At 44.5% G+C, this 21,424-nt stretch overlaps 2 protein-coding genes and 1 long non-coding RNA gene across 5 annotated transcripts in view, besides 2 other annotated features; 2 read left to right on the top strand and 1 right to left on the bottom strand.

The window, feature by feature from the left end:
• Positions 4,251 to 4,450: a silencer, noted in NCBI's record as "silent region_11002". NCBI's record gives its function as "represses an Ori minimal core promoter by ATAC-STARR-seq in GM12878 lymphoblastoid cells {active_cell/tissue: GM12878}" and the evidence as "EXISTENCE:reporter gene assay evidence [ECO:0000049][PMID:35858748]".
• On the top strand, positions 4,478 to 17,974 carry ZNF816 (zinc finger protein 816). 3 transcript variants are annotated; one of them, NM_001031665.4, is made up of 5 exons: positions 4,478 to 4,632; positions 7,182 to 7,332; positions 11,255 to 11,332; positions 14,482 to 14,608; positions 15,775 to 17,974. In NM_001031665.4, exons 3-5 carry the CDS (start codon positions 11,270 to 11,272, stop codon positions 17,538 to 17,540), a joined length of 1,956 nt encoding a protein of 651 aa, NP_001026835.1. In that variant the 5' UTR covers positions 4,478 to 4,632; positions 7,182 to 7,332; positions 11,255 to 11,269; the 3' UTR covers positions 17,541 to 17,974. The 3 variants fall into 3 exon arrangements, with proteins under 3 accessions (NP_001026835.1, NP_001189386.1, NP_001189385.1); NM_001202457.3 differs by lacking the exon at positions 7,182 to 7,332; NM_001202456.3 differs by lacking the exon at positions 7,182 to 7,332 and having other exon boundaries at positions 4,478 to 4,642.
• ZNF816-ZNF321P (ZNF816-ZNF321P readthrough) overlaps positions 4,478 to 21,424 on the top strand; it is a 35,747-nt gene continuing 18,800 nt past the window's right edge. Inside the window, exons 1-3 of the mRNA NM_001202473.2 lie at positions 4,478 to 4,642; positions 11,255 to 11,332; positions 14,482 to 14,608. Of these exons, the coding sequence (NP_001189402.1) occupies positions 11,270 to 11,332; positions 14,482 to 14,608 (190 nt within the window). The 5' untranslated portion in view covers positions 4,478 to 4,642; positions 11,255 to 11,269. The remainder of the gene's footprint in view (positions 4,643 to 11,254; positions 11,333 to 14,481; positions 14,609 to 21,424) is intronic.
• Positions 4,511 to 4,760: an enhancer, noted in NCBI's record as "active region_15062". NCBI's record gives its function as "activates an Ori minimal core promoter by ATAC-STARR-seq in GM12878 lymphoblastoid cells {active_cell/tissue: GM12878}" and the evidence as "EXISTENCE:reporter gene assay evidence [ECO:0000049][PMID:35858748]".
• On the bottom strand, positions 19,303 to 20,631 carry LOC124904761 (uncharacterized). The gene is made up of 2 exons (XR_007067329.1): positions 20,555 to 20,631; positions 19,303 to 19,914 (listed from the first exon to the last, which is right to left on the bottom strand). It is a non-coding gene; the product is annotated as an uncharacterized LOC124904761 (long non-coding RNA).

Below are 21,424 nucleotides of genomic sequence, written 5' to 3'. Positions count from 1 at the left end.
ACTGCACTCCAGCATGTCTCAAAAAAAGAATACTTATGGTAAAGTTTGGGTAGATGAATTATGATATCATTGATGCTTTATGAAAAGGTTATGGGGACGATGCCCAAAAGAAATCAACAGTTTGTAAATGGATAACTAATTTTGAGTTGGGAGAAGACAATGTTGAAGGTTACACGTGGAGCAGCAGGCAGACCATCCACATCAGTTTCAGAGAAAAACAATAATCTTGTTTGTGCCGTGATGAAGAGGACTGACAGCTAACAGCAGAAACAATAGTCAGGAGGTTGAGAACAGGCTGGTTAACATGGTGAAATGCCATCTCTATTAAAAATACAAAAATTAGCTAGGTATGGTCGCAGACACCTGTAATCCCAGCTCCTTGGGAGGCTGAGGTGGGAGAATCGCTTGAACCCAGGAGGTGGAAGTTGCAGTGAACCGATAGTGCCATTGCACTCCAGCCTGGGCAACAAGAGTGAAACTTTCTCTCAAAAAAAAAAAAAAAAAAAAAAAAAAAAAGATGTCAAGCCCCTTCTCTTCCTTTCTCCACCATCATGGTGTGTACTTGACTCTGCTTCTCACCAGATCTTCTCATAAGACTATCAGGATTAAGCAATTCCTGGCCAAGAAAAAAAGCAAAATTGTTCCATTCCCCAGTGGATTCAGATGAAAACTGGTAATAAAATCAGGTACAACTTTAAAAGGAGACATTGGAGAAGAACCAATCCGTGTCTATAAGGAATTGTACATGAGATGGCACACATTTTTATGCTGTCTGAGCATTACAATCACGTTACCATATCAAGCAGAAAATGTCACCATTATCTGGAGAGTTGGACATGTTTTATTGGGAATATATTTTTTCTCTCTGAATCTGTTATGAACATGTTGGTTGGCTGGGTTCAGTAATAAATATGTGAGGCTTTTCATTTCAAAAAAAAGTCAAATGATGTAATTCCATAGAGTACCTTAATTCCCGTATTGCTTTTTGGTTTTTTTTGAGATGGAGACTCCACTGGGTTCAGTGGATCACACTTGTGGTCCTCACACATTCGGAGGCTGAGGTGGGAGGATTGCTTGAGATCAGGAGTCTTCTGGGAATCTTCTCGCCTCCGCTAACCCAGTTCAGGATAGACCCTTGGACTTTACTGTTTTGGAAAATCTATATAAACCAATATCAGTGTGTCAAAGCATTATGTCTGTCAGAAGGTTGTGAAAGAAGCTTAAAAATTACTAAGCCAAAGAGAAAAGTCAGGCTGGGAACTGTGTCAGACAAACCTGCCTCCCATTTTATTCCTAAAAGAGACAGCTACAAGGATTTTTTACAAAGCTACATAGAGGCTGGGTATGGTGGCTCAGGCCTCTAATCCCAGCACTTTGGGAGGCTGCGGTGGGTGGATCGCCTGAGGTCGGGAGTTCGAGACCAGCCTGACTAACATGGAGGTACCCCGTCTCTAGTAAAAATAGAAAATTAGTCAGGCATGGTGGCATATGCCTGTAATACCTGCTACTCGGGAGGCTGAGGCAGGAGAGTCACGTGAACCCAGGAGACAGAGGTTGTAGTGAGCCGAGACCACACCATTTCACTCCAGCCTAAGCAATGAGAATGAAACTCCATCTCAAAGATGAATAAATGAATACATAGATACATAAATATTTAAAATATAAAGATGAGGTTTCACCATGTGCCTGGGCTGGTCTCCAACTTTTGGCCACTAGCTATCTTTCTGCTTCGGTCTCCCATCATGCTGGAATTACATGCACGAGCCACCATCCCTGGCCACATTATGCTTTTTTAAACTTGCTAATATTTTAGATATGCTAATTTCTTCCTAAACATAATTATGTTTTAGCTAATTACTAGTATTTGATAAATGAAACCTTCGATAACTAGGGATGTGAGTGAAAAATATAGTTCATAGTACATGTTAACTTACAGATATTGCCATAAAATTATTGCATGCAGAAATGCGGTGATGTAAAAGTTTATAATTTTTTTTTTCTTTTTTTGAGATGCAGTCTCACTCTGTTGCCCAGGCTGGAGTGCAATGGTGAGATGTCAGCTCACTGCAACCTCTGCTGCCTGGGCTCAAGCAATTCTCCTGCCTCAACCTCTTGAGTAGCTGAGATTACAGGCGCATGCCACCATGCCCAGCTAATTTTTGTATTTTTAGTACAGATGGGGTTTCGCTGTGTTGGCCAGGCTGATCTCAAACTCCTGACCTCAGGGTGATCCATTCGCCTAGGCCTGCCAAAGTGCTGGGATTACAGGTGTGAGCCATCACACCCAGCCAATTTTGTAATTTAGTTATATTTTCTTCAGGGCCCACGTAAAACAGAATAACCTGACTGCAATGTATCCTTAGTAATATCTCATAATTATTCTCTATATGAAAATAAATCCCAATGTTTGAAGACTGCCTATTTTACAGCCTTTGTTGTTCACACCTGATAGAACACTTAGGAGAGAACAACAAAGAAAACACCCAAAATAGATTACAATTGGATGGGTGTGGTAGCTCGCCTTTAATCCCAACACTTTGGGAAGCTAAGGTGGGAGGATTGTTTGAGTACAGGAGTTCAAGGCCAGCCTAAGCATCATAGTGGACCCCCGACTCTACAAAATATTAAAAAATTAGCCAGGCCTGGTGGTGAGGGCCTGTGGCCCCAGCTAGTTGGGAGGTGAGACGGGAGGATTGCTTGAGCCCCAGAGGTTGAGGTTGCAGTGGGCAGTGTTCCCACCACTGCATTCCATCCTGGGTGTCAGAACTAGGTCCTGTTTCTAGGGAAAAAAAAATTACAACTTGAAGATAAAAAGTACATTTTCTACTTATTTTCAGAAGGCACGTAAAGTGAATTTGATATTACAATACACTTAGGAATTATTTTTTAAAAAAAGAATTTGAGAATGAGGACCAAGGTCTAATTTTTTTCTCTTGCCCAAATTCCTATCTAAAGGGTCTGGGGAGTCATGCCCTACAAACCATAAATACTCATCAGATGGGTTTTATTTAGTCCTATATATCCTGTCTTACTTTCCAGTCTGACTCTGGAATAACGTGACAAAGAAGAAAGTCAAAATATTTTACCCCAAAACATGTTTCTGTGCCATATTTTGAAATGGTCCTGCAAAGCTGTTCTTTGTGAGGGGTACATGTGCATTTGTAAAGAATCTCTGTTAACATAGCTAGATCTTTTTCTTCTAGGCCCTACCAATCCTGAAGAGATTAAGTAAGAATCTCGCACTGTTTAAAGGTCTGAATAGAAAACACTTATCATCTATTATCTCTAAGGGCAGCCAATAGAAGACTTGAAAACAACATTGGTCTCCACAATCTTTTACCTTAACGTGAACATTTCCTCTCCGTTGATCCCAGGTATTTAGACAAACTCAACCAATTGTCAATCAGAAAATGTTTCAATTTACCTGTAGCCCAGAAGTCCCCGCTTTGAGTTGCCCCTCCTTTCTGAACCAAAGCAGCGTATTTCTTAAATGTATTTGATTGATGTCTAATGCCTCCCTAAAATGTCTAAGAACAAGCTGTTCCCCATCACCTTGGACACATGTTCTCAGGACCTCCTGAGGGTCATTCATATTTAGCTTAGAATAAATCTCTTAAGATATTTTACAGTTTGATTCTTTTCCACGACAAAAATAACTCATTTTAAGTGCAGCATGAAATAATAAACGTAAGAAACAACTGGGCAACTTATATGCACTGTTACAATGTCAGTGCTTTTTTTAAATCACTTTTTTGTTTATTGAGACGGAGGAGGGAGCTCTGGGATAGAGGGTCTTACTTTGTCGCCCAGGCTGGCCTGGAACTCCAGGCTCAGCGATCCTCTCGCCCCTGCTTCCTGAGTAGCGGGGACCCCAGACTCCTGCCACCCCGCCCGCATCCCTGCTGTGTTTAAGCACACTCCTCTGCTCCGCACCCCAGACGGTGGCCCTAGGGAAGTCTCAGGAGCTGAGCACAGTGTGGACTCTCCCACTCCAGTGAATGGAGAATTGAAAGGGAGAGGATTTCTATTCTGTTCTGTGGACCGTCAGCATGAAATTGTACCTTTCGCTCAGGCAAGGCTTTGCATTTCGCATTCTAGTTTGCATTCCTGCCGTAGACAACTTCCAGGCTTTGGAATTAAATTGCTAAAATAAATTTCAATAGCAAGGAACTTTCCCGGATCCAATTACCGCCACACGGCGACTTCTCAGGGAGGTACTATTTCCCTGACTGCTGAGCTGCTCCAGCCTCACTGGCGGGTTTCACCTCTAAAACCTTGAAAACAGAGGCGCGGAGAGCGAGATGGAGAAAAGCTCAGGCCCCGCCCCTTTCCCGCCCCCGCGGACTCCTCCCAGCCCAAGACTCTTCTCTTCCGCGCCGGGCCCCTTGTCCTTTGCACCCCGCCCCGGCCTCGCCCAGGCCCCGCCCACCTCTCGGGGATCTGGCCCAGGTCCCGCTTCTGTCCTGCGCCGATTGGCACAGACCCGGAAGCGGATGGCGTGGACTGAAAGTTGCACGGCGGCGTGTGCGTTTCCTAGTTGTCTGGTGCTGCTATATAGGGGACGTGGGGTCCCCACAGACCTGCAGGTTCCGGCCCCTCTTTTCTCAACCCAGAGCAAATTGAAACGTCCGGGTGAGAGTCCGTGAGTCGCTTCCTTTTGAGTTTAAAGTTGCCCTGAGGCTGGTCCCGTCCCCGGTCTTTCTGCAGTGGGGCCGTGCAGACACCTCCTGTCGCGAAACTTTCCTTAGCAAAACCCTTTCTGACGCGTCCTCCCGCCTCGCGCTGTTTCAAGTCCTCACCCGGAGCTGGATTCTTGCCCTGGGCAAGAGCGCTTCCCAGCCTCGCTCTAGTCGGCCCCTGGAGCGCAGCGTTGCAGCCCCGCAGCCCCAGGGTGGCCGGTGCTTTGTGGCCACTCCTGGGCTCTTTCCCTTTCCATCTGAGACGTGGTGGAAGTGGGAGGGCTACAGGGAGAGTACCCTTTGATCCTTTGTTACTACGGGTGGGGAGATGGGGTTATTCCTTTTGGTCTAGTTTTGCAAAGTTCACATTAATTGGCCTTAGATTCCCAGAGCCAGGACCCAGATTTTCACTTTTCTTCTTTGTTGTTGGAGATGGGTCTCTGTGCCTACAGACTAGTATAGCCTGTGCCTGGACTAGTATAGTATAGTATAGTCTCTGTGCCTGGACTAGTATAGTCCAGCGGGGGCCGTCCAGTCTCAATGAAATTCTGGATGAGCCTAGGCAGTCTGTAATTTAGAAAATTTACGTAATGAGTTCTTTTCAGTGTGGTTTAAGCCTCACCAAGTGACTGTCCTTGTTGTGCTGTTGTATACAACTTCTGTCCTAGACAATTGAGCTTTCTTACGGGGTTGCTGAAGTTTTTTCTTTCCTTAGCTACATAGTATTGTCTAATAACTGAGGTTTTTAGGACCTAGAAGTTGCTAGTTTGGGCCTTCTGAGCTGGAATTGTGTGAGGAACTGGATCAGTGGGCACCAACTCTCGGGCTTCCTGAGGCCATCGGTCTCCAACAGTAGTTCCTCCGCGTACATAACAAGAAGCAACATTGAGGGAATGAGCTACATTTTCCGTTAACTGGAGAAACAAGTTCCTTGTCTTTTTTGGAAGCTCTGGTGCTGGCAGATTTAGCTCATTATAAAAGGCTTGAAACACTGGTTTGGGAAAGGGCCTGGGGACCTCCCCTCGGACTAAAATGGCAACTTGGGGGGTTACCCTTGTCCTATTGACCGTCAGGATTACACCTTCTCTTTTTCTCTAACGGGGGTCTAGGGAATTAGTGATTATTAGTTCTAGTGGGTTACAGTGACTGCTAGCACAGGAGGGGTTGGCTTCTTTTTTTTGAAAGTGAACCGGGTCTTTTTTGTCATTTTTCTAAGTAGCCTAAATAACACATGGGCAACAGGCAAATTTTCACAGACCTCTGCCTCATGACAAACATTTATTTTCTACTGTGCAGCTCCTTTCTTAGTTAAGAGAGCCACATCTTAATCTGAGCTTGTTACTATTAATGGCTGCACAAGCATCAAATTTAAAGTTTCTTGTTTGGGGATTCTTTTTTCTTCTGTTCTAGTTATTATTTTACTTGTGTCACCTAGGAAAGGACCAGTTCTTAATCTTATTTGAAAAACGGTGGTTGCAGGAGGCTTAGATGGGTTATAACCCATAGTAGGTTTGTCATTTCCTGGGCTACGTACCTTGTATTGAGTGGAATTATACAAATAAGATCCTTTTAACGTGCCTGTACATTCATAATAACTATAGAACAGAAAGATTGTTTTAATTTGCTGTCCTATCTCAGTGACCTGATGAATACACTGGGAACAGTCCTTAGTTTGAGGAAGGTCAGTTGAAGCCTTTACTGTACAAGTCTAAAATTTAAGAAGAATGAGTCCCACGATGAGCTTCCTCATGCTTCCACTGTGCGTAGGACCAGTCAGCTTCCGGGTGTGACTGGAGCAGGGCTTGTCGTCTTCTTCAGGGTCACTTTGCAGGGGTTATCTGGGCTTGGCCTTGCCTCCCAGGTTTCAGGCGCTGCAGGTTTTATATGGCTGTGGTGGATCCAGGCCGGGATTCCTTCTACCTTCACAGCGGTGGGAGTGGTCAGGATGACGGTCTGGGGTACTTTCCAGTGGGGGCACACAGGGGCTACGTTCCAGTCCTTGATCCACACTCAATCACCCGGGGAGAAAGAGTGAACTGGGGAGAATAAGCTAATGGGGCATCTCTCATTTACCTGGGCTGAAATCATTTGTGTAATTTTTCCTAAGGCCTTAAGCTATTTTTGATAATCCGATTCATTCACTCCACCTTTCCAGAACTCTGAGGTCAGAAGGCAGCATGCAGTTTCCACGTGATCTTTAATACCTTTGCTGTCGTCTGTACTAAGTCAGCCACAAACTCCAGCCCGTTATCCGAGCTGATTCGTAAGGGCCGTCCAAATCTAGGAATAAGATCTCGAAGAAGCACATGAGCTTTCTCAGTTCGTGTGGGATAAGCCTCCACCTACCTAGAGTAGGTACACACGAGAACTAGTAAATACTTGTTACTTCTACACTTTGGCATTTCTGTGAAGTCCACCTGGAGATCTTCAAAGGGGGCTGCTTCATAAGCTTGTATGCCGGGCAGAATGGCTGAACCCTGCCTCGCATTGTGCTGTCGGCAGGTAACACACCGCTGTGCCACGGTTTTGGCGAGGGCTGACAATTGTGAGCTGTAGAAGTACCAGCCTAACAACTGTTCAAGTGACTCCTGACCTAGATGGGTGGTTTCATGCACCTCCAGTACAACTGTGGCTCCTAGCAGCTGTGGCACAGGTACTGTCCTATTTGGTGACCGGATCCTTCCTTCTTCCATCACCTGTCTTCCCTCTGCCTGGAGAAAGTCTTTTTCTTCTTTAGAATAAGTAGGTACAAGGTCAGGTGCTTGAGGGAGCAAGGGGGCTGTGACTGATGCCCAGTAGGGTGTGGATGTTGCTTTTCGAGCTTCTGAGTCAGCTCTGGAGTTCCCTAAGGCAACCGAGGTGGAAGCTCGCTGGTGTCCTCTGCAGTGCATGACTGCCACATTGTGGGGTTTCTATGCTGCTTCTAATAATTGCAAGATTTCTTGCTGATATTTTATGTCTTTTTCTCCAGAGTTCAACAGGCCCTTTTCTTTATATAATGCTTTATGCACTTGAAGGGTTAAAAAGGCATACCGAGAGTCAGTGTAAATATTTTCAGTCTTACCTTCACTGAGTTCTAAGGCCTGAATTAAAGCAATGAGCTCGGCTTTCTGGGCTGAAGTGCCCTGGGACAACGATCTGGCATCAATGGCAGTGTCCAGGGTTACTACCGCATATCCTGCACATCTCTCTCCTTGTGGGCTGTTGAAGCTGCTCCTGTCCACTTATAGCTCCCAGTCTACTGATGCCCAAGGCTGGTCTCAAAGGTCAAGCCTGCTAAAGTAAACTGAGTCCAACACCTCTACACAGTTATGCTCAACAGGGCTGTCTGATACCAAGAGTAAGGTGGCGGGGTTCAGGGTGTTACAAACTTCAATGGTTATGTGGGGATTTTCACAGAGCAAGCTTTGGTACTTGTTTAGTCTAGCATTCATTAGCCAATGATGTCTTTTGGTATTCATTAAAGTCACCACAGCATGGGGGGCCTTTATGTTCAGGTTTTGCCTAAGAGTTAGTTTATCTGCTTCTTCTGCCAGCAGGGCAGTTGCTGCCAAGGCCCTCAAACATGAGGGCTAACCTTTAGAATCCCCATTTAGTTTCTTAGAGAGGCAGGCCACTGGCCTCGGCCAGGGCCCCACAGTTTGGATCAAAACCCTAACTGCCGTATTTTCTCTCTCAGAAACATACAGCGTAAAAGGCTTTGTCAGGTCAGGTAACCCCAGGGCTGGGGCTGACATAAGATTTTCTTTTAACTCATGAAAGGCTTGCTGTTGTTGGGATCTCCGTTCAAAAGGTTCCTGGTCCTGCCCCTTTGTGACTCCGTACAGAGGCTTGGCCAGTACTACAAAGTTTGGGATCCACGGTCTGCAGAACCTCACAGCACCTAAGAATTCTTTCACCTGCTTTCTGGTCTTAGGCTTCAGTAGGTTGCAAAAAGCCTGCTTTCCTTCTGATCCCAGGCTGCGCTCCCCCTGTTGGATAGTAAATCCTAGGTAATGTACCTGCTGTCAGCAGATCTGGGCTTTCTTCTTGGACAACTTATACCTATAGTCCTCCAAGGGCCAGAGTAGGGCATCCTTTCCCTTGGCACACTCAACTGCCATGGGGTGTCCTAACAGAAGGTCATCAACGTACTGGAGCAATGCGCAGCCTAGGTCTCTGGTGGGAAACTTCTGGAGGTCCCGAGCCAGTGCTTCCCTGAAGATGGTGGGGGAGTTCTTGAACCCTTGCAGAAGCCGGGTCCAAGAGTACTGAGCAGTGACACCTGATCCCAGATCTTCCTACTGAAAGGCAAACAGCTTCTGGCTCTGAGGGGCTAGTCTAATGCTAAAGAAAGTGTCTTTCAGGTCTAAGCCAGAGAACCAGCTGTCCTCAGCTGGCAGCAACCTTAACGTGTACGGGTTAGGTACTGTTGGATGTAAAGTCACTGTAGCTTGATTGACTAAGTGCAAGTCCTGTACCGGCCTGTAGTCATTGGTCCCTGGCGTGGGAACAGGCAGGAGGGGAGTGTTCCAGGGAGACTGACAAGGGACTGTAATTCTAAAGGCTCTCAGGCTCTTGAGATGGACCTGGATACTTTCAAGATCTTCTCTGGGGACCAGGTACTGTTTTTGCCTGACTGGCTGGGCCCTACGCTTAACTTCTATAAGTACCAGGGCTTGGTTAACTGCCATCCCTGGAGGGTTGTCTTCTGTCTACACCCTTGGCCACCGCTTAGCCAGAGTTGGTCTTATCTCTTGGCCTGGCTCAGTTAAAAGAAGTCTCCATTCCTCTTCCTGGGGGACTGTAAGGGCCATAATGACTCCCGTTCTGGGTAACCTTAGCTGTAAAGAGCTGTGCTCTGTAGAAGAGACGGTGGCTCTCAGCTCGCTAAGCAAGTCCTTTCAAGTCCTTTCAAGTCAGGCATGTACAAGAACTGGTGAATCACTTTATGTCTTCCTACAGTACAAGTCTGGGGCAACAGAAAGCTTGCTTTGATAAAACTCCCATGGCTCCGATTATAACAATAGTCTTTTTGGAAAGGGGGGCAACCGGGGCGGTTACTACTGAATGTTCAGCACTGGTATCAATACGAAAATCAATGTCTTTGCCCCTAACTGTCATCTTGACCATGGGCTCCTTGGGGGCAGTTGAGCCTGGTCCTCCTCAGTTCAGTAACTCTTCTGCTATATTGAACAGGGCTCCTTCTGGGGCCTCCTGCTCTGAGCCACCTTGTTTTCCTTTTAGCTGAGGGCACTTGTCCTTCTAATATCCTATTTCTTTACAGTAAGCACACTGGTTACACTGCAAGTTCGGATGGCCAGGCTAAGTATCTTTCTGGGGCACATGCCTACCTGGTAGCACTCTCAGAATCCATGTCGCCCAAGCTGGCTGGAGTACCCAGCAGGGATGCTCCAAAGGGCAGGCCTAAGTCACCTAAGGGGTTGCCTCGACCTTCTGTTAATTACCTCGCTTCCAAGTCAGGGAACCAAGAAATGTAGCATGACGAGCCGCAGACAGTACCTCTCAGACAACGGATTAAAGAAGGAAGTGGCTTTATTCGGCCCAGCGCATCAGAGGACTCGTGTCTCAAGAACTGAGCTCCCTGAAAAAGAAATTCCTGGCCCTTTTAAGGGCTTACAGCTCTAAGGCATCCACGTGAAAGGGTCATGATAGATCAAGCAAGTGTGGGGAATGTGACTTGACACTACGTGCATCAGCTAACAGAACAGAAACTTTTGCAATGCTTCTTCATACAATGTCTAGAATTTACAGATAACATAAGTAGTTTAGGTCAGGGGTTGGTATTATTATTATTTTTAACCACCGGGGCCAGGTGGTAGCACCAAGGTCGTCTGGCTATTTATCTTACTTCTGTTTCTTTCTAACTTTTTGCTTTCTTCCTTTCCTCCTGTCTTATAAACTAGGCAAGGGGGAGGGAGGAAGGCAGCAGGAGAAGTGGTGGTCTGCTTCCTACCTCAGCCTCCAGAGTAGCTGGGACCACAGCTGCGTGCCACCACACCACACTAATTTTTGTGTTCTTCGTAGAGATGGGCTTTCGCCATGTTGCTCAGGCTGGTGTCCAACCCCAGAGCTGAAGGGATCCAGCTGCATCGGCCTCCCAAAATGCTGGGATTACAGGCATGCTGTTTTATCAGATTGCTATTATAATAGGATGGGACCCACACTCAATAATACTTACAATGGCACTGGTGATTCTTATCTGTGTCCAGCATTAAACATCAAGGAAGTTTCCTCCATGTTGAGAGCTGAGATCAGTCTGTGATCCACAGGGAGGTGAGGGGGCTGTGCTCTGCATGGAGTTTGGTTAGGGCTAGATCTGTGCCCTGAAGATCTGTGTCCTGCTGCAGCGTGTGTGTGGACTTTTCCAGGAGGGGAGCAAGATCTGAAAACGGGTCAAAATTACATTTGTAGGTCTTCCTGTGGAACTTTCTTATCTCTGCATGGTCTCTGGTGCAGTGGGTAGCAAAGGACCATCTTTCTCTCGGGTGAGGTTTCCCCTGTGTGTGTGTTTTGTCACAGGAAAGGAGTCAATGGTTTCTAAATATTAAATCTCTTGCTTTTTTAACATACAGGATTTCCAAAGACTCATGTTACGTGAGGAAGCCACCAAGAAGAGCAAAGAAAAGGAGCCAGGGATGGCTCTTCCTCAGGTAAGTGATATTCCTTGGTGGATTCTTCTGTCTCTTTCCTTTCTGAAGTGCCAGGTATTGTAGTAGCCAATCTTCTCTGAGTGTGAAGCATTCTACATCACACGTTTGCTCGCACTCACCCGTGTCTTTTCTCAGTCCCTCTCATCTTCACTTAAATTCCATCTCCTATAACCTAGTGACATGAGCTTGGGAAGAGGCTCCACTGGGCATGGTCCTGGGAAGGGCTCACACCAGACATGGATGGAGATGGGGTGTGGGCCCCATGGTGTCAGTGATGTTGGGCAGCAGGGATTGTTCAGGGGCCACATCTGGATGCATGTTTAGCTCTTTGTGGACCAGATCAGAGAAACTGTATATGAAAGTCATACATTAATGTTCACTGGTTAATCTGGTAAATTCTGGAAGAGGAGACAAACTAGGGGAGATATTTTGTGTCTGATTTTGTAATGCATTTGAAGCTACACTAGTGAGTCAATATGTCTCTGACGCCAAACTTTTGTTTTAAGAGACACGGTGTCACTCTGGGGCCCAGTCTGGAGTGCAATGGCACAATTCTAGTTTACAGCAGCCTCGAACTCCTGGGCTTAAGTGGCCCTCCCACCTGAGCTTCCCAAATTGCTGGGATTACAGGTGTGAGACAGCCCAGCAGGACTCTGCACTTTCAATGTCTTAGAATAGAATGGAAAGCGGATATAGATACCAGTAATAGAGTTAGCTTTATTCCATCATTGACTTCAAATTATGAAATCAATATAAATATCTAACTGCAGGGGATTCTTTAAATCATTCTCAGCACTTTGACCCCACAGAGACTTTTTTTTTGTTTTTTGTTTTGTTTTGTTTTTTTTACAGGGACTCTGATGAAGCAAACATTTTAGGTAAAAATGATTATAAGTTTGCTCTGACATAAGAGCACAACTTACGTCGTTAGAGAGGATGGAGCCATTCTTTTTCTACCCATTATTATTAAGTAATTCTTTTATTTTAAACATCACATGATGTATATATGTGTTGTGTAGTAAAAGTCCAAAGAAAAGTGCACTTATGCATCCCCTTTCCTGTCCAGCCTTCCACCCATTCCCATGTCTCAGTGGGGAATCGCTGTTGAGAGTTCTGTGGCAAGTCGGCGCAATCCTTTAGAAATGTATTCATATACCGTTATGAGATTTTAGAAAAAATTATTTGATGAATGGGGTTTTTTTTTTTTTTTTTTGCATGTTTTTTGAGACAGGGCCTCCCCGCCTGGAGTGTAGTGGCACATTGCAACCTCTGGCTCTCAGGTTCAAATGAGTCTTACGCTTCAGCCAACTGAGTAGCTGCATTTACAGATGCGTGCTACACTCCTGGCTAATTGTTGTGTTATTAGTACAGATGGGGTTTCACCATGTTGGCCAGGCTGGTCTCGAACTTTTGGCCTCAAGTGATCCTTCCACGTCGGCCTCCCTAAGTGCTGGGATTTCAGGTGTGAGCCCTGCTCCCGGTCTGATGAATGTTTGTTATGATATTTTATCCTGCAAGTTCTGAAAATTTTCATGTTTCCAAGGTAGAAAACAAGATAGCTCACTCTTTTAAATCCTCCTTGGAGCTTTCTCTGAATGAAGACTCATGAGTCCTTGACAGTTTTGTTTCATTTCTTTTTTGTTGTTGTTGTTTGTTTGTTTTTTTTGAGACGGAGTTTCATTCTTGTGGCCCAGGCTGGAGTGCAGTGGCACGATATCGGCTCACTGCAACTTCCACCTCCCAGGTTCAGTAGCTGGGAATATAGGCATGCGCCACCATTCCCAGCTAACTTTGTATTTTTAGTAGAGACAGAATTTGTCCATGTTCTTCAGGCTGGTGTCAAACTCCTGACTTTAGGTTATCCACCTGCCTGAGCCTCCCAAAGTGCTGGGATTACAGGTGTACCTACTGTGTGCAGCCAATCCCACGGTTTATGTAGAAAATACATTATTTGCAATATATATATACCTTTTTTTTTTTTTTTTTGAGAAAGAGTCTCAGTCTGTTGCTCAGGCAGGATTGCAATGGTGTGACCTTGGCTTACTGCAACCCCTGCTTCCAGAGTTCAGGCGATTTTCCTGTTTCAGCTTCCTGAATAGTTGGGATTACAGGCACCTCCCTACCATGCTCAGCCAATTTTTTTATTTTTAGTAGATACGGAGTTTTGCCATGTTGGAGAGGTTGGTCTCTAACTCCTGACCTTAAGTGATCCACCCACCTTGGTCTCCCAAAGTGATGGGATTACAGGTGTGAGCCACCATGTCTGGACTTATTTTATATATATATATAAAATATATATTATATATATTTAATATCTTTATTTAATAATATATTTATTATACAATATTATATATAATATATGATACAATATTGTAATATATATTATATATAATATTGTATCATATATATTTTATAAATACATATTATATATAATATTGTATTATATATTATATTTTATAAATACATATTATATATAATATTGTATTATATATTATATATTATAAATATATATTATATATAATTAAATATTAAAATATATATTATATATTTATATATAATATATATAAGTATATATTATATATATAAAACATATGTGTATGTGTGTATATATATATTTTTTTTCTTTTTTTTTTTGAGATGGAGTCCTACTCTGCAGCCCAAGCTGGAGTGCAATGGCACGATCTTGGCTCACTGCAACATTCGTCTCTTGTTCTCAAGTTATTCTCGTGCATCAGCCTCCCAGGTAGCTGGGACTAGAGGCGTGTGCCACCACACCTGGTTTTTTTTTTGTATTTTTAGTAGAGACGGGGTTACACCATATTGTCCTGGGCTCGAACTCCTGAGCTCAGGAGATCCACCTGCCTTGGTCTCACAAAGTGCTGGGATTTTAGGCATGAGCCACCATTCCTGGCCTTATATTGTCCATAAAACTGAGACTTCCACAGTGACTTAGGGGATTTTAAAAGCTATCATGAAAAAGTACAATAAAATGCAACTATACTGAAAAATTGTTCAAAAATACCTTAACATAAATTTGTCAGAACACAGTCTTGGATCAAATCAATACTTATTTTCTGTTTTCTCATTTCACGTGAGGGCAATAACTCACTCCTCCATAATGTTTTGTTGAAACGTGTTTTTTATTTTAGGGACGCTTGACTTTCAGGGATGTGGCTATAGAGTTCTCTTTGGAGGAGTGGAAATGCCTGAACCCTGCACAGAGGGCTTTATACAGGGCTGTGATGTTGGAGAACTACAGGAACCTGGAGTTTGTGGGTGAGGAAAATGTCCCTCCAGACATGAGGAATCTGCACTTGTCTATCTTGGCTCTTTCTGGTTTTATATTCTCTTTTGTGATTTTGCCCCATACATGCTTTTGATGTACATGTCATTGTTTTCTGCGGTGATGACCCTCCTATCTGTCATGGACAGCTTCTTAGAGACTCTTCTTTGGAGTGGTTTTACATAAAAACAGAAAATTCACGAACACTTTGACTAATACAATTGAACATCATCCTGCTCTAGGAAGAGATGTCCCTGGAAGCCCTGAGCAGAATGGTCAGCATGGCCCAGGATACGAGATAGAAAGCATGACACTGATTGACAAGTGTTTCCAGCTGTGCTTGTGGTTTTGTTTTCTTTTTGTTTGTTTGTTTTCAGACAGAGTCTCCCTCTGTTGAACAGACTGGAGTGCAGAGTCTTGATCTCATCTTATTGCAACCTCTGCATCCTGAGTTCAAGCAATTCTTGTACTTCAGCCTCTCAACCTAACTGGAATTACAGGCACATGCCTCCATACCTGGCAGATTTTCATATTTTTATTAGACATAGGGTATCACCATGTTGGCCAAGTTGGTCTTGAACTCCTGGCCTCAAGCAATTTGCCCACCTCAGCCTCGAAGTGTTGGGATTACAGGCGTGAGCCACCATGCTTGGCCTTTCATTCTGGTTTTTGAGAACCATCACAGAAGCATCTCTCACTAGCACTGTGACAGTGTTCATCACATAAACGAATGGTCATCTTCTCTAAGCAGTAGTCACTGCTGTAGAAATTCCTCTTAGGGAGGACATCATTCAGGCTCACTGCCTCATATATATGAGGCTCTTGACTGAACTCTTTTTTTTTTCTACACAGAATTTTGCTCTTGTTGCCCAGGCTGGAGTGCAATGTGGTGATCTCCGCATGCTGCAACCTCTGCCTCCTGGCTTCAAGCAATTCTGCTGCCTCAGCCTCCTGAGTAGCTGGGATTACAGGCACCCACCACCATGACTGGCTAATTTTTGTATGTTCAGTAGAGACAGTGTGTTCTTAAACTATGAAGATCACATTTGGGAAGTTTAAAATAAGTATTGCTTTTTGTGTAATTTTTACACATCTGAATATCAACTATTATTTACCATCTGTACTTAATTGGAAACCTATTGGTCTTTATATTTTTTAGATAGCTCTTTAAAATCCATGATGGAGTTCTCATCAACCAGGCACAGTATTACAGGAGAAGTGATCCACACAGGGACGTTGCAAAGACATAAAAGTCATCACATTGGAGATTTTTGCTTCCCAGAAATGAAGAAAGATATTCATCACTTTGAGTTTCAGTGGCAAGAAGTTGAAAGAAATGGCCATGAAGCACCCATGACAAAAATCAAAAAGTTGACTGGTAGTACAGACCGAAGTGATCACAGGCATGCTGGAAACAAGCCTATTAAAGATCAGCTTGGATTAAGCTTTCATTCGCATCTGCCTGAACTCCACATGTTTCAGACTAAAGGGAAAATTAGTAACCAATTGGACAAGTCTATCGGTGCTTCCTCAGCTTCAGAATCCCAAAGAATTTCTTGTAGGCTCAAAACTCATATTTCTAATAAGTATGGGAAGAATTTCCTCCATTCTTCATTCACACAAATACAGGAAATATGCATGAGAGAAAAACCTTGCCAAAGTAATGAGTGTGGCAAAGCCTTTAATTATAGCTCACTCTTAAGGAGACACCACATAACCCATTCAAGAGAGAGAGAATATAAATGTGATGTATGTGGCAAGATCTTTAATCAGAAGCAATACATTGTATATCATCATAGATGTCACACTGGTGAGAAAACTTACAAGTGTAATGAGTGTGGGAAGACCTTCACTCAGATGTCATCCCTTGTATGCCATCGTAGACTTCATACTGGAGAGAAACCTTACAAGTGTAATGAGTGTGGCAAGACCTTCAGTGAGAAGTCATCCCTTAGATGCCATCGTAGACTTCATACTGGAGAGAAACCTTACAAGTGTAATGAGTGTGGCAAGACTTTTGGTCGAAATTCAGCCCTTGTAATTCATAAGGCAATTCATACTGGAGAGAAACCTTACAAGTGTAATGAGTGTGGCAAGACCTTCAGTCAGAAATCATCCCTTCAATGCCATCATATACTTCACACTGGAGAGAAACCTTACAAATGTGAAGAATGTGACAATGTTTACATTCGCAGATCACACCTTGAAAGACATAGGAAGATTCATACTGGAGAGGGATCATACAAATGTAAGGTTTGTGACAAGGTTTTCCGGAGTGATTCATACCTTGCAGAACATCAGAGAGTTCATACTGGAGAGAAACCATACAAGTGTAATAAATGTGGCAGGAGTTTCAGTCGGAAGTCATCCCTTCAATACCATCATACACTTCACACTGGAGAGAAACCTTACACATGTAATGAATGTGGCAAGGTTTTTAGTCGAAGAGAAAACCTTGCACGTCATCATAGACTTCATGCTGGAGAGAAACCTTACAAATGTGAAGAATGTGACAAAGTTTTCAGTCGCAGATCACACCTTGAAAGACATAGGAGAATTCATACTGGGGAAAAACCATACAAATGTAAGGTTTGTGACAAGGCTTTCCGGAGTGATTCATGCCTTGCAAACCATACGAGAGTTCATACTGGAGAGAAACCTTACAAGTGTAATAAATGTGCGAAGGTTTTTAATCAAAAAGGAATCCTTGCACAACATCAGAGAGTTCATACTGGAGAGAAACCTTACAAGTGTAATGAATGTGGCAAGGTTTTTAATCAAAAAGCAAGCCTTGCAAAACATCAGAGAGTTCATACTGCAGAGAAACCTTACAAGTGTAATGAGTGTGGCAAAGCCTTTACTGGACAGTCAACACTTATTCACCATCAAGCAATCCATGGGTGTAGGGAAACTTTACAAATGTAATGATTGTCACAAAGTCTTCAGTAATGCTACAACCATTGCAAATCATTACAGAATCCATATTGAAGAGAGATCTACAAGTGTAATAAATGTGGCAAATTTTTCAGACGTCATTCATAACTTGTAGTTCATCAGTGAACTCATACTGGAGAGAAACCTTACAAATATCATGACTGTGACAAGGTCTTCAGTCAAGCTTCATCCTATGCAAAACATAGAATTCATACAGGAGAGAAACCTCACAAGTGTGATGATTGTGGCAAAGCCTTTACTTCATGTTCACACCTCATTAGACATCAGAGAATTCATACTGGACAGATGCCTTACAAATGTAAGGGTGGCAAGGTCTTCACTCTGTGGTCATTCCATGCAGAACATCAGAAAATTCATTTTTGAGATAATTGTTCCAAATAAAATGAATATAAAAAATCATAAAACTTTAATTGACATTAGAGTTGATTCAACATTGACTTGAGTTTGAGTTGACTTAACATTGAGTTCACGCATTAATTGACATAAAAAGTGTTAATGTTAAGAAGAATGGGTCAGGTGCAGTGGCTCATGCCTGTTTTCCCAGTACTTTGGGAGGCCAAGGCAGGTAGATCACTTGAGGTCAGCAGTTTGAGACCAGCCTGGCCAACAGACTTGAGCCACTTTACCCAGCCTGTTTTTTATTTTTATTTTTTGAGATGGAGTCTTGCTCTTGTCACTCAGGCTATAGTGCAATGACATGATCTCAGCTCACTGGAACCTTCACCTCCTGCATTCAAGCAATTCTCCTGCCTCAGCCTCCTGAGTAGCTGGGATTAGTGATGCATGCCACCACACCATGCTAATTTTTGTATTTTTATTTATTTTTTATTTTATTTTATTTTTTTGTTTTGAGATGGAGTCTTGCTCTTGTCACCCAGGCTGGAGTGCAGTGGTATGGTCTGGGCTCATTGCAACCTTTGCCTCCTGGGCTCAAGCAATTCTTCTGCCTCAGCCTCCTAAGTAGCTGGGATTACAGGTGCCCGCCACCAAGCCTGGCTAATTTTTGTATTTTTAGTAGAGAGGGTGTTTCTCCATGTTGGTCAGTCTGGTCTTGAAATCCTAACCTCAGCTGATCCACCCACCTCGGCCTCCCAAAGTGGTGGGATTACAGGCGTGAGCCACTGCAACTGGCTCTTTTAAATGTAATTTTATTTATTTATTTATTTTTGAGCCTGTTTTGCAGCCTTTACAAAAATCAGGGTTTTCCCACAAGATCATGAAGATTTTCATATAAGGGACCTCTGACCATTTGTGTTGGCGTTGGCAGTAAAGGTCAAGCAGGAATAAGGTAATAACATTCAAGCTCCCCACCTTTGGCCAGGTTCCTGCCTTTCTAGTTCATATTTTGGCCAAACCTAGCTACTCGCCAGGCTGAGGCAAGAGAATCACTTGAACCCGGGAGGCGGAGGTTGCAGCGAGCCAAGATCGCACCATTGCACTGCAGCCTGGGCAAAAAGAAAGAAACTTAGTCTAAAAAAAAGAAAAAATCAAGACCCTTCTCCTCTCTCCGTCATCGTAGTGTGTGCTTGACTTGGCTTCTTGCCATGTCTTCTCACAAGACTTTCAGGATTAAGAGAGTCCTGGCCAAGAAACAAAAGCAGAATTGTTCCATTCCCCAGTGGATTCGCATGAAAACTGATAATAAGGTCACAATCACGCAACCATATCAAGCTGAAAATGTCACCCCTATCTGGAGAGTTGGACATGTTTTATTGGGAATATATTTTTTATCTCTGACTCTGTTACGAACACATTGGTTGGCTAGGTTCGGTAATAAATATGTGAAACATTTTATTTAAAAAAAAAAAACGTCAATTGGGCGTGGTGGCTCACGCCTGTAATCCTAGCACTTTGGGAGTCCAAGGCAGGTGGATCACAAGGTCAGGAGATCGAGACCATCCTGGCTAACATGGTGAAACCCCGTCTCTACTAAAAATACAAAAAATTAGCCGGGCGTGGTGGCGGGCGCCTGTAGTCCCAGCTACTCGGGAGGCTGAGGCAGGAGAATGGCATGAACCCGGCAGGCGGAAGTTGCAGTGAGCTGAGATCGCGCCACTGCACTCCAGCCTGGGTTGACAGAGCAAGACTCCATCTCAGAAAAAAAATAAATAAATAAAAAATAAAAATAAAATAAGTCAAATGACGTAATTCGATAGAGTACCTTAACCTTTGTTTTGTTTTTTTGAGCTGGAGACTCCACTGTGTTCAGTGGATCACACCTGTGGTCCACGCACCTTGGGAGGCTGAGGTGGGAGGATTGCTTGAGACTGAGTCTCCTGGGAATCTTCTCGTCTCTTCTAACCCAGTTCATGACAGACCCTTGGACTTTATTGATGTGGAAAATCTATATAAAGCAATATCATTGTGTCAAAGCATTATGTCTGTCTGAGCTTGTGAAAGGATAATAAAAATTACCAAGCCAAAGAGAAAGGTCAAGCTGGGAATTGGGACAGAAAAACCTGCCTCCCATTTTATTCCTAAACAACATAGCTACAAAGACTAAAAAAAGCTACCTAGAGGCTGGGCGCAGTGGCTCACGCCTGTAATCCCAGCATGTTGGGAGGCCGAGGTGGGCAGATCACCTGAGATTGGGTTTTCCAGACCAGCATAACCAACATGGTGTAACCAACATTTTTAGTCTCTACTAAAAATACAAAATTAGCTGGGTGTAGTGGCGGGCGCCTGTAATTCCAGTTACTCAGGAGCCTGAGGCAGGAGAATCGCTTGAACCTAGTAGTCAGAGATTGTGGTGAGCCGAGATTTTGCCACCTGAAAGGGGGAGGACATGGGCTAAAACGATACAAACGCTGCAGAGCCACCGGGTCTGCGAGCTTCCCATGGCGAAGCTGGGACTCCCTGACAACTGCACAAACTCGCGTGGGGATTTCAACATCCCGACGCACCCAAATTCCTGGTATGGCTGGACTGGGGGCTGGGGTGCTGAGAAAGGCAGGTTTGAAGCAGAAAGACAAAAAATCACTCACCTGCGTCAGCCCCGGGCTCTCCGTGCAGAACAACCATGGGCTGGTCCTGGACCCTGTCTGGGAGGGTTCTGGACACTAAGCGGGGACAGGGCAGGAGAGAAAAGGTTGCTGAGCGGGCGGGGCCTGAACAGGTGCTGGGTCGGGGCGAGAGAGTGGAGGCCGCTGTGGGGGCGGGGCCTGGGGCGGGGCAAAAGGGAGAAGGCTGCCTGGGGGCCGGGCCGGACTGCGGGCAGGAGCCAGGCCAGAGGGTTGACGCCGTCTAGGGGGCGGGCTCTGGAAGGTGGGTTGTTCTAAAGGGCCAGGCCTGGAGGGGGCGGGTTCGGGCTTTCTCAGCTGGGCCGTGGATGTCTCCTGCTGTCATCCTCTCCCTCTAGGACTGGATCCTCCGAGTTCTGATTGGTGGATTCATTCTCTTGTGCCGTGATGTTACCCCTAATATCACATGGATGCTTCCTGCCCGTTTTAAGTTAACATTTCAAACAATCGAAGGTAAAACAACTTATTGTAGTAGACCACGTGTGCTGAACGCTGAATAGTTTCTCTTCTTAAATTGAAAATGGTTTTAATGCAAAGCGCCTTTTTGGAGCAGGTAGAGTCGTGCGTCCTGCAGGCGGGGCGAGCTCCCCTCAGTCTGGGGCAGGGCGGGGGAGAGGGGCAGGGACCTCGGTAAAGGGGTGGAGTGGGGCGCTGGTTGCAGCGGGAACTGACAGAACGGCTTATTAAACTAAGCAAGGTCCTGGGTTGTTTGAGTGGATAATGGAAACTGAAAAGTGACAAGCAAAACTGCCTATTACACACAGGAGGTGGAGGATAGGGGTTTCATATTTCATGGAAATAAAGTCAGGGCCCGGAGCGGTGGCTCACACCTGT

Source organism: Homo sapiens, chromosome 19 (genome assembly GCF_000001405.40).
Source record: "Homo sapiens chromosome 19, GRCh38.p14 Primary Assembly".
Lineage (NCBI taxonomy): Eukaryota > Metazoa > Chordata > Mammalia > Primates > Hominidae > Homo > Homo sapiens.
The sequence above is the reverse complement of the archived record's forward strand: the minus strand, read 5'-3'. Positions and strand labels throughout refer to the sequence as shown.

What these genes read in the sequence shown, in the direction of transcription:
- ZNF816 (NM_001202457.3), top strand. Translation starts at nt 11,270, where the DNA reads ATGTTACGTGAGGAAGCCACCAAGAAGAGCAAAGAAAAGGAGCCAGGG. An exon ending in CAGGGATGGCTCTTCCTCAG is followed by an intron (nt 11,333 to 14,481) that starts GTAAGTGATATT and finishes TTTTTATTTTAG; the next exon opens with GGACGCTTGACTTTCAGGGA. An exon ending in CAGGAACCTGGAGTTTGTGG is followed by an intron (nt 14,609 to 15,774) that starts GTGAGGAAAATG and finishes TATATTTTTTAG; the next exon opens with ATAGCTCTTTAAAATCCATG.